The following is a 12,781-nucleotide window of genomic DNA, read 5'->3' on the forward strand; positions in this document are numbered from 1 at the left end:
GGCACATACAGAAGCTATCAGAGATACTGGGATGATGCTAACATTGATGTGCTTATGAGGGAAGACAGGGAATGTTTGGCTAAAATCCAAACAAAAGATGGGTGACAGAAGCAGCAGAAGCCAATCAGCCCACCAAGAAGGTGAGTCTGGCAGATGCTGGCAGATACAGAGGCCCAAAAGGTAGCTGGATTACCTACCTGCCAAGTCTCTGGATGTGGAGCCATAATGCACTGCTTCATCTGAGTTATGTCTTATGCATAAGGCTTGTACATCAGAATCACTCACTGTATATCACAATGCACTAGACAGGTGTTTTCCTTCATCCCTCGCTTTTGTAAATTCAACAGTTTTGTCGTCTCTATATGCTATCCAAAGCTGCTTAAGAAATCCAAATTAGTGATTTTACCCTACAGAATCAGGAGCTTTTATAACCTCATTATAAAAGATTTAAACAATAAGGCATGGATATCCCATAAATAAGTGTTTGTTGCACTTAACTACAGACTTTCATGGTCAGGAGCTACAGAGAAGAGTCAAAGAAGATGAGTTATCTCAAATAATGTGCCAGGGCTCCTGGGCCGACAACTTGCAAATCTGGAATTTTAGAGCTTTGCCAAAGACAAATAAAAAACCCTAAATATTCAGGTTTGATTCAGGATGCTTACTGCTTCCCCAGAAGCATGGAGGAAGATATCGCCCACTCATGTTGGTGTTCAGGCTGCTGACACTGGAAAGCTCCCAGAATCAAGCAGTAATGGGAACACTCCCTGAAGCACTTAGAGAATTGAGCAAAATTATATCTGGTGTGTGGATGCAAGAGTGTGTGTATTGTTTGGTCTGTTAAGGGGGGGCAAGAATTTTGACCTAGTGTATAAATTTAATCCTAAGCTATGTGCCATATTACCTCAAACTTTTATATGAAGAGTCAGCCTCATGTTTTCTCTCTTGGTCCCAAATCATAAGGACCTTGACACTTTAAGGAGTGGACCAAGGGTAGATTATATAATAACATTTTAAACCGTGGCAGCTTGATCCCCTTTAGTTACACTAAGGGCTCACAGGTAATCATAATACATTTACTATATCTGTATCTTTAAATTGCAAAGTGTACACTGGAGAGAACTCCAGGACATGTAACCATATCCAGTTCTCGTGAATCTCAGATAATGACTATGAAGAGAAATAGCAGAAGTTAGAAGTGCACTAAGGGTGTCACATTGCCAAGTGAAATAAGCTTCTAGAATATTCATGCAGGGAGCCCAAATTTCTCACTTGCTAGCTCCCAGCTGTCAAACCAGAGGAAACTAAGGCTAGACTATGAGAAGCAATCCCAGATTCATTGCTGCTGGGGGTTGCTTCTTAACCCTGTGATGATGTGCCTATGTTAACAAAACATGATTGGAATTGAAAAACTACATGGAGATGGGCTGGGAGAGCCAAAAACTGCATCTGCTTTGTTGTGTGCATGGGGGGTGGGGGTGACAGGATGGGTACAGAATCAGAGTCAGAAGCTACAAAACTCCTTGGGAATTTATGTGGTCCCCCAAGTAAAGAATTAGAGAGAATTAATTCCCCCTTCTCAACTTCCTGACATATAGGACACTAGATCTCATTTTTAAGAGATACTTCTCAGTATGTAACTCAAGTTATGCCTTGTCTTTCTGCTTTTACTTTTTCTTTTTTTGAGACAGAGTCTTTCTCTGCCTCCCAGGCTGGAGTGCAGTGGCGTGATCACACCTCATTGCAGCCTCGACCTCCCAGACTCAAGCAATCCTCCCACCTCAGCCTACCAAGTAGCTGGGACTACCAGTGTGTGCCACCACATCTGGCTAATTTTTTAAAGTTTTTCTGTAGGAACAAGGTCTCCCTATATTGCCCAGGCTGGTCTCAAACTCCTGGGCTCAAGTAATGTTCCCACCTTGGCCTCCCAAAGTATTGGGGTTACAGGTGTAAGCCACCACACCAGCCTTCTCCCATCTTTCTAATGTTTACCTGCATTCTCTTTGGCACTACAGCTGTATTCTTAAAAAGTAATTAGTGGCAAAGTGCCTACTGATACTTCTTTTATTTTTTTCAGGGACAGGGTCTCACTCTGCTGCCCAGGCTGGAGTACAGTGGCATGATCATAGCTCATTGTAGTCTCCTGGCTCAAGTGATCCTCCTGCCTCAGCCCCCCAAGCATCTGGGACTCCAGGTATGCACCACCATGCCCAGCTAATTTATTTTTTATTTTTATTTTTTTATAGAGATGGAATCTCACTAAGTTGCCCAAGCTGGTCTTAAGCTCCTGGCCTCAGGTGATCTACCTGCCATTGCCTCCCAAGTTGCAGGAATAACAGGCAAGTCAATACTTCCTTTTTATATCTGAAGTTCATCTACATGATCTTCTCAAGACATCTCTCCCAACTGCTATTTCCTAAGCTTCTAATTTCTGAATCATCTCTTTATTCTCTATAACAATCCTGTATGGCAGTCCAGGTGGTTCTGACATTAAAAATGAGAATCGGCTGGGTGCGGTGGCTCACGCCTGTAATCCCAGCACTTTGGGACGCTGAGGCGGGCAGATCACCTGAGGTCAGGAGTTTCAGACCAGCCTTGCCAACATGGCAAAACCCCGTCTCTACTAAAAATACAAAAATTATCTTGGTGTGGTGGTGGGTGCCTATAATCCTAGCTACTTGGGAGGCTGAGGCAGGAGAATCCCTTGAACCCAGGAGGCAGAGGTTGCAGTGAGCCAGATCGCGCCACTGCACTCCAGCCTAGGCAACAGAGTCTCGAAAAAAAAGAAAAAAAAAAAAGGAAAAGGAAAATAATGAGAATTATTTCTACCTCCATGACAAAAGAGAGGAGAGAAACCACGAAGTCTCTTCTGTTCATGCTCCCACATATTGCCCACATACTCCTCAATGCTGGACCCATTCTTAGCATCTTTGAGAGTTCTGTAGTGAGCTGGTAAATAGTCCCATCTCTTCTGAGACTTCCACCAGCTAAGGAAGCATAAGAGCTTTTGAAATGGCTATGCAGCTCCATGTTGAACACAACACTAATGGCTGAAACGACACTCAGTTCCTAGGCTGCACTACCTCATGGAACATGCTGATCTACTACATGACCACATGCATAGCATTGGATCTGCCAGCCTTTTTAGTGGCAGTTCTTTACTGTTGACACATTTGGCCTGTGGTTCACAGTGACTGCTAGCCAACTGAACTCCATCCTGTTTGCACGTTCCTACTTGTTGAAACAGTACAAGGCTGTCATTGTTTCATCAAGCATTTATGAATGGCCTTTGTGTGAAAAGCACAGTCCTGGGGTTACTTTCATAGCCCAATTTTAAGGGAACACCTGTGCATAATTGTATACATGTGTTTGTTTTCATGTTTGTGTGTATGTGTATACATGTTTCTCAGAGCTTTGCAAAACATACCTGGAATCGTGTACACTGTTATTCTCTTAGTCTTTTGTGTGTCCCAGGCCTATACCATCTAGCATAGACTGCCAGTGCTACATAATGCTGCACTGCAGGGAATCCCTGTCATGGGAAATGACTACAGGAGACATTACCCAGCATGTTATTCTTCATGGAGTGCTTTTTGAAAGATCATGACTCTTGTAGCACCGGGCCAAGATCTTTTTTAAGCTAAAAGGCACTTAGACAAAGAGAGCCGTGTGTGTTTGTGTGTCTGTGGCTGTATGTGCATATATATGTGTGGTTGTGTGTGTTCAAGTGTGTGTGTGTGTGTGTGTGTGTGTGTGTCGGGGGACTATGGAGGAAAGAATGGAAAGAACGAGATTACAGGTCTGAGGTGATATGGTTAGAATCTGATTGCTCAGCTGTAAGGAATGGAGGGTGTGAACATGATTCACAGAGGAAACAGCAGGCAGTGGAACCCTGTACAGCTGGTCCCTGCTGGCCTATATACTCAGGGGATAGACTGAATCTCATTTGGAGAAATACTCAGAGATGCAGAAGAGAAAAAAAAAACACTCTGAAGAGTAAGAAGTGCCTTGGGGAATTGAGGATGAGGACAGGGGATGTCCTGGTTAAACTAAATGCCCCTGACATGCCATCTATACCAACCACCCTCTGCAGCTCTGGCAGCATGCTACCAGGTATAGATCATTATTTGGTTAAAAAGACAAGAGGTAACTCTCTGCAGGATCCAATTATGTTCTTGCTTGGACACTTGAGCATTTGTTTTAAGGAGGACACGCAAACCCTGGGGCACAAGAGGGAGGAGGCAGTGGGCCTGATTCAAAGAGCCTGGGTTCCCATCTCCACTCAGGGAAAATCCCTGAACCTCTTGATAATTCAGTAATTCAGTTTCCTCACCTGCAAAACAAGCATAGTGCCCGTACCTACCTTGCAGGGTTGCTGTACGTATTAAAGATTATTTCAAAAATGCCCCTAGCACAAAGGGACTCAGTAAGCAGTAACCTCTTTGAAAATTCATCAGAAGGCTACAAGTTTTAGTATGGCATTTACTGCAGCTGCAATCATCACCCCCCCCAACTGATAATTAGTGAGTTAATAATTTCTTAATTCTCTAAACAAGATAAACAACAACAGACCCTCACAGATGACATAGTAAAACTGACATTCCTCAAATAACTCAGAGGGTTCTACCTGCAGATGTGATGATTCTGCAAGAGACAAGTAGTTTCATCAAACCCTCTGTTAAACTTCAAAGTTTAGGGGATATTCTGGATATTCTGGTAAATGTAGTGTGAGATTGCTAAAATTAAACAAAGTCATTGAAAAGCGCACTTAGCGTCTGTTATAAACAGAAACAGCTTCTTTTCTCCCAAAGATACTATTTTTCCCCCCTTCTTATCTCTTTACTGCTGGGAACTGCTGAGCTTAACAAAGTAAACTTGGCTTTACTTATCAGAGTAAGCTCAGGAAGCCCTAAGAGGAGGGGCAACACAAACACCAGAGAATGAGATGTTCAACGAGAAGCCTGGAAGACAGCTTTCCACCAACAACTCCCCGGCTGTGGCGTGATCATTAGGTGGGTTCAGATTTTAGAAACACAAATGTGTCATCTGAATTGTATGTGACTGCAAACCCCAGCCATTGCTTGGAAGTCTACGACAAGGCAGGCATTCTGGGGTTCGAAGAGGTTGCTGGGATCTTTGCACTGAACAGTGATAAGAAGAATGCACGAAACAGAAAGTTACCCTCTTCTGAACTGCCCAAGGAAAATTCTGCACCCAAAATGAGATTAAGGGCCCAGTGCAGATAGGGCAGCCTTTCAATACCATCCAACACAAAATAGCATTTTATTTCATTCAAACTAGGATGGTTTCAGAATTCTTGTGAAAATCCAATATAGGCTGAATTTTCCTTCATACTGTATGTAAGGAAAGATTAGCCAAGCAAATTAAAGATACAAGGAATACTACAGGGACGGAACTTCAATAAACCTTAAGACTTTCAACACACTGTCTGTAAGCAGATACTCCGGCTGCCCATCACACACAGAATGCATTGCACACGCCTTACTGGGGGCGACAAGGCTGAATGCAATCGGGTCTCAGCTTACCTGCCAGCCTCAAGTCCAGACACTCCTTCATTCACTAGGCTCCAGTCATGTTGCCTTTTTTTTTTCCTGTTCTTTGAACCACCCCAGCTCATTCCCACCTCCAGGCCTTTGCACTTGCTCTTCAGTCTGCCAAGAACATTCCACCCTCAAATCTTCACAGGATCAGCTCCTCCTCCTTGTTCAGCTCTCGGCTCAAAGGTTACCCCTTAAAGTTCAACCCTCCTCTGACTGTTCAGTTGTTCTCTCTCATATCCTCAGTTTATTTTCTTCCTACCACCACCCTCTAGAATTCTGGATAGTCCTCTTTGTATACTTACGTAATAACGGAACACCTCCACTAGACATTGAGGTCTGTGAGTGCTGGGGCTCTGTCTCCTCGTCATCACTGTAGCTTCAGGGTCAGGAGCAGGGTTTGGAGATTAGTAGACTCCAAAAACTATTTATTAAAGGAAAATTAATTACAAAATACTAATATACCTGTTAAATAAATTTATTCTTCTTCTTTTCTTTTTTTGAAACAGGGTCTCACTTTGTCACCCAGGCTTGAGTGCAGTGGAGCAATCTCAGCACACTGCAACCTCCAACCTCCGCCTCCCAGGTTCAAGTGATTGTCTTGCCTCAGCCTCCTGAGTACCTGGGACTACAGGCACATGCCACTACGCCCTGCTAATTTTTGTATATTTAGTAAATACAGGGTTTCACCATATTGGCCAGCCTGGTCTCAAATTTCTGACCTCAGGCAATCTGGCCACCTTGGCCTCACAAAGTGCTGGGATTACAGGCATGAGCCACTGTGCTCAGCGCTGTTAAAGAAGTTTCTGAAAGATCTCTACCTAGAAACAATTTGAGGATATGCACAGTATGTACTAGTGATTAACAAAACATACTTTCTTAAACTTGACATTTCAGACTTTTTCTTAGTTTGAACTAGCGAGCTCTCTACCTTTCCCTTATATATCCCCTCCATTCCATTTCATTTATCTAAAATGAAAGAGAAGAACTATCAAACTCTATATAAATATAATAAACTAAAATCAATGTGCTGCTGATAGTTTTATTTCCTTAACATGACTGTGAAGCAGCAGAATATGCTCCTGAAAAAAATCTCAGTCTCCAGACTAAGGTGGAGGGAGAGGCTAAGTGGTGACTTGTACTCTCCCAACCCACACAATCCTCCAGCATCTACCGGCTATTTGGGCCTTTGTCCATCAGACATATGGCCAGGAAAGTACAGCCTCAATTGAACAGCAAAGCCCTCCCGTGCCTCACCCTAGGGATGCACTCTCCCTCCTACTTCCCTCCCTACCAGCCAAATTGCCTCATAGACTCCAAGACACATTAACATCCTGGAAACAAAAGATGGGCATTGTGAAAATACACTTATCATAATGAAAAGATTAATGTCACACACTAGTGATTGACCTGAATGAAGATTATTTCCTAGGACATGGGACCCAACACCTAGAAGAGAGAAAGTAAAGAAAGAATCCAGGGAATTTTTGTAATATTACCTACATCCAAATGACTAGTATAGAACTTCGCTTTCTCTTTCTTAAAGAAGTAGTTCAACACATTGGTTCCCTTTTTATTTTTGTACATTTAGAGATAAAGATCATGTTTCTAAAACAAGAAATGAGATAAAGTGCTAAGCATGAATTCATGCATAGCATCCAGAGGTGCTGTTAATGTTTTTTGTATATATTGATAACTGTCTGCACATGTGTATATATTTGTGTATGTGAGTGTATATGGTGGGGATGTGTGTGGACATGTGCATTAATTTGGAACACTGAAAAAGTTGGGGTAGGACCCGTCACACTGGGAGAATCTCCAAGAGCTGGAATATTCTGAGTAGGTAATACTCTACGTTGTAAACTGCTCATGCAGCAGGACTGAGGAAAAGGCATCGCCTGGCCACCGGCTGTTACTGACTCTGGGAAAATGAAAATACAGCATCTCTGCACCTGTTCACCTGATGGTGAAGGAAGGAAAAGCCATTACCGAGTGACAGGAGACAAAAAACCAAAATCCACTTCAGCAACTCATCCCACTGCTGGTGATTAATCTCACACTCCCACAGCCTGATGCACATTAACCAGATAATTAATAATTTCTTTAGGGATTCCGGCTCGGCAACTGTTTTATCAACCTGCACAGCATTAGGAGGGAGATGCCGCACTTGTGATCAAACGTCTGGAACTGGGAAAAAGGACTGTAGATGAACAGTGAGGGCTTAGCAGCAATTTGTGAGCCTACTTCAAAATGAACAAGTATGGTTAAGTAATCCTGTGTAATTTTTTATCACTACTATTGGCCTCGCTGAAGAGCCAAGGAATAGCGCCTTCCCTTGTACCCCTGTAACTACCACCACCAGTAGATAGCTCACAGACTTGAAATCACATGTGGTTTACTATGTGTGCAAAATAGAATATACCAGGCATATCTAAATTCTAGATGCATCTTTTTAAAGAGTGCATAATCTAAGACACCTCCCCCATCAAATCAAAAGTTTCAAAGAGTGTTTGATCAGAACAATGCCGGTTGACGTATTTCTTGTTCTTGCTGGCTCTAATTCACATCTATCTAAAGGAAGCCAGGCACAAAGAATCGAGATCACCCTTTCTGAGTCCCCTGTGCAAATGTACCCTTCTTCTCTTATGTTAAAACATATTCCACAGGGAGAAGCCAAAACCTCTTTTTTATGTCTATTTTTATTAAGATTGTAAGACTATGAATAAAATCTTAAGAAGAATAATAAATTATAAGCACTGCTTATTAAAAGGCTCACCATTAAAATTCCAACTTATTCATGTTCTTTCCTAATGAGAAAAACAGTACATTGAAAATATTATTACAAATTTCTCTCAACTCTATCCAGAATGCTATTTGGATGGAAAAGAAACAAGAGTATAATCCATCCTTGTCGGAAGTCACAGTGGACTTGCTGGCAGAAACCCTGGGATGAGGTCTGCCCACTGTGTCTTGGTATTATATCCTCCAGCTTTCCTGAGGGAAGCTATCATAGGCAGGCAAACAGCACTCTGCATGGACTTTGCCATGGGAGTGTTAATCAGGATGGTTGGCAATTACAGAGCATGTCCACCTTATGTGTACCCAAAGGAGAAATTGCCCTCAGACGTCAGGGCTAGGATAGTCTGGGATTCTCCTAAGAGTGGATCACGCAGACAAGGCAAAAATTTAGGGCTGAGAATTTTGGTGCTGGGAAGCAGTTTAGAGCCAAATCAATTGTCTATTTCCAGCAAATTTGCAGGACCATAATATAGGTATTGTCACACACACACCAATTTCAGCTTGCTAGGACAGTCTGCTTTTTTAACCCTGATTTTCAGAGGTTTTAGATTATACCATATGTCTTTGTGAGAGTCCCCTCAAATCATCTTGGAGTAAAGTAAGATAATGAATTGGACAAAAAGAGAGAGAACAAAGAAAGACAAACTAAAATATTGGGCAAAACACAAGATCACATAACAGAATAGTGAGACCTGGAAGGACTTGGAATTTACCTAATGTTGTTGGGCACTCCCTAGGTACAAGGCAATGTGCCGTAGGGTACACACTCCTAGAAAAAAAAAAAAACATAGAGCATCCTCTACACCACAGATTTCGCTCTTAAATTTGGGTTTAGGGAACAATTTTTTTTCAATATTAAAACATATTTTATGGAGTAGAATGCAAATTTCACATGCATACAACAGATAAAGAGGGGATTAAAAATTTTTTTTTGTTTGCTACTGGTCATTTCAGGCCAGATCCTCACAAAGCACACATATATTTCCTCGACCTCTACTTTTCGAGTACATGGGTAGAAATTCTGAGAAACATTTGACTAGATCACATTTACAGAAAAGGAAAATGAGACCCAATGGTGTGACTTTGTTGAGCCTTAGACTCTAAACTGACGGTAATAATATTTCACTGGGTGCCTTCAAATGTATATGTGAAGAATATCATCATCTATGAGGCAGTGATAACTATAAAATCTCAATCAAAAGCACATGCAATTTAGATTCACAAAATTTCAGTTTTCACCAAGACCTCTACAGCCCTCCCCTGTCTATGAAAGTAAGAGCACAGGGAGTGGCCTGGTGGTTATGAGTTACCAAATCACAATACCATGGATAGTAACCAGTTCCCATCAGGTAACACTAGGCCAGAAAGAACTGACATCATAAGGTACACTAAACACTCCTTGAGGATAAAAGCCTTATCTAATTTATTTATTTATTTGTTTGTTTATCTATTTATTTTTTAGATAAAGTGTCACTCTCACCCAGGCTGGAGTACAGTTGTATTTTTAGTTGAGACAGGGTTTTTCCATGTTGGCCAGGCTGGTCTCAAACTCCTGGCCTCAAGTGATCTACCCACCTCAGCCTCCCAAATTGCTGGGAATACAGGTGTGAGCCACCGTGCCCGGCCTCCTTACCTAATTTATCTGTGACTTCCTAGACCAAGCACAAAGCTTATACTAGGCACCCAATATATTAGGCACGTAGTAAATGTTATCAGAACCACTATTTGTTGAATAGAGATCTGAGGGACAGATTCAATTAAACCTAAAAGCACTAAATTGTTATGGGCTCTTTTCAGAAATGAAACTAGCACCATTAATAACAACAAGCAAAACCCACAAATGAACAAAAACAAAAGAACCCAGAAACATGAATGTGATTCAGAACAAAGAACATTGGATGTAGAGTCATAAAACCTGGCTTAACTCCCTGATTTTTAAAACATTTTAGCTATATAAACTTAAAGGGGATAATTTCAATCAGATACATCCTATTTCCTCATTAAGATAAATAGAATAATAATACTAACCTTACAGTGTTGTAAGGAATGAGTTTATATGAATATAAGAAAAAAATTGTCAAGTAATAAAATACTAAAAACCATTAGTTACTATCCATTATATTATTGCATGAAAATGAAAAAGTTTGGCTGAAACACACACACACACACAAACAGGCACACATACACACACACACACACACGCATACATTGTGGGTTTTTCTCTCTCTCACATGGCTTGATTCCAAAGCAAACTAAACCAAGATCCTTACAAACTAGAAACAGTATTTTTAAATAACTGCACATCATCTCAGCCACTAATTATTTTTAGGATTTTACTATACGCCGCTAATTGAAAGTGTTCAGTCCTTTCCATTCATTAGTTTTATTACAAGCACTCCAATGAATTAAAGAAAAATCTGCCATCACCACCTTCCTTGAAACTTTCACTATATTTTCATAAAAGCCTTGACCTTACAAAAGCAATTCACATTAATTCAGCACAAGTCACAGGACTGGACAGAGGATAAAAATTTGGCATTTCTAATAAATAGGACACTATTGAATAAGTTTGACAGAAGGCTATTATACTCTTGATGTCAGGAAATGGGGCCGACAATGCTTTCTTTGTTACGATGAGGGGCATGGCATTATACATCACTGACTATATGGAGACTCTATTGGTGGGGCCAACCAAATGTGTGAAGTGAAGCACTCCTTAATAGGATTTTTACTATATTAAAAACTTGCCTGTGTACATTGATAAGAATTGGACTCTGAAAAGATGAATTGCAAAGATCACTACTAAGAAAGCTTTGAGACTATAGGCATGTCTACATTAGAAAGCAAATATTCAAGCACAGGTAACTCTACACTTCAACATAAACGTTAGGTCCATACATCTGTTACTTTAGTTTATTAGTAGTAATCATTTATTGAATAATTTTTCAGTACAGTGCACTTTACACATGTTTATTCTACATTTATTTATTTAATATACATCATCTTATCTTGTAGGCCTTTTAATTGTTATTTAACAGTTGCAAAGAAAAGGAAAAAAGCTTGGCAAAAGTACATTACAGTTGAAAACTTATTTTCATACAAAAACTTGCTCACAGATGTTTATTGCAGTTTTATTTTTAATTGCCAAAACTTGAAAGCAACCAAGATGTCCTTCAGTAAGTGAAAGGATAAATAAACTATGGTACATCGAGACGCTGGACTGTTATTCAGTGCTAAAAAGACGAACTATCAAGCCATGAAAAGACATGGAGGAACCTTAAATGTGGAACCTTAAATGGCACACATCATATGATTCCAATAATATGAAAAGGCAAAATTGTGGGGACAATTAAAAGATCATTGACTGCCAGAGGTTGGGCAAGGAGGAGGGAAGAATAGGTGCAACACAAAGGATATTTAGGGCAGTGAAACTACTCTGTATAATGTTATAATGGTAGCTACATGTCATTGTACATTTTTCCAAACTCCTAGAATGCACGACACCCAGAGAGAATGCTATTGTAAACTTTGGATTTGGGTGATAATGATGTGTCAGTGCAGGTTCATCAATCGTAACAAATGTACCACTCTGGTAGGGGAAGCTGATAATGGAGCAGGCTGTGCTAGTGTCAGGGAGGGGTATATGGAAACTCTCTGTACTTTCCTCTCAATTTTGCTGTCAACCTAAAACTGCTCTAAACCTAAAGTCTATTAAAAAAAGAAAAGACAGGCTGGGTGTGGCGGCATATGCCTGTAATCCTAGCACTTTGGGAGGCCGAGGCAGGTGGATCACGTGCGCTCAGGAGTTTGAGATCAGCCTGGGCAACATGGTGAAACCCTGACTCTATTAAAAACACACAGAAAAAACTAGCTGGGTGTGGTGATGTGCACCTGTAGTCCCAGCTACTCAGGAGGCTGAGGTGGGAGGATTGCTGGAGGCTGAGGTGGGAGGATTGCTGGAGCCTGGCAGGTCAAGGCTGCAGTGAGCTGAGATTGTCCCACAGCACTCAAGCCTGGGAGACAGAGCAAGACCCACCCTGTAAAAAAAGAAGAAAAGAAAAGAAAAGAAAAGAAAAGAAAAGAAAAGAAAAGAAAAGAAAAGAAAAGAAAAGAAAAGAAAAGAAAAGGAGAGGAGAGGAGAGGAGAGGAGAGGAGAGGAGAGGAGAGGAGAGGAGAGGAGAGGAGAGGAGAGGAGAGGAGAGGAGAGGGGAGGGGAGGAGAGGGGAGGAGAGGAAAGGAGGGAAGGAGGGAAGGACAGAAGGAAGGAAGGAAGGAAAGAAGGAAGGAAGCAAGGGAGGGAGGGAGGGAAGGAAAGGAAAGGTAAAGAAAAAAGGACATTAATTTCCCTGAAGTCTTACAGTCATTCAAGATGGCAGTAGTAGGATTCAAATGTAGGCCTGTGTAATGTCAAAGCCTATTTTCCT

The 12,781-nt window shown here is 41.3% G+C and overlaps 1 protein-coding gene across 41 annotated transcripts in view; it reads right to left on the reverse strand.

The window, feature by feature from the left end:
• Positions 1-12,781, reverse strand: part of ESRRG (estrogen related receptor gamma) — a 634,457-nt gene that overhangs the window by 396,456 nt on the left and 225,220 nt on the right. For 11 of the 41 annotated variants that reach the window (XM_017000634.3, XM_017000631.3, XM_047449391.1 and 8 more), the window contains exon 3: positions 5,864-5,982. The exons of 22 other annotated variants lie outside the window; for them this stretch is intronic. Coding sequence is in view for 8 of the 19 variants with exons in the window: in XM_017000625.2 (XP_016856114.1) it covers positions 5,547-5,638 (92 nt within the window). In the remaining 11 variants the exon portion in view is untranslated. Of the gene's footprint in view, positions 1-5,546; positions 5,983-12,781 lie in introns of all 41 variants that reach the window. 8 more of the 41 variants (XM_017000625.2, XM_017000622.2, XM_017000624.3 and 5 more) reach the window with 1 other exon arrangement.

The sequence above is a fragment of the Homo sapiens genome, chromosome 1 (genome assembly GCF_000001405.40).
Source record: "Homo sapiens chromosome 1, GRCh38.p14 Primary Assembly".
Classification (NCBI taxonomy): domain Eukaryota; kingdom Metazoa; phylum Chordata; class Mammalia; order Primates; family Hominidae; genus Homo; species Homo sapiens.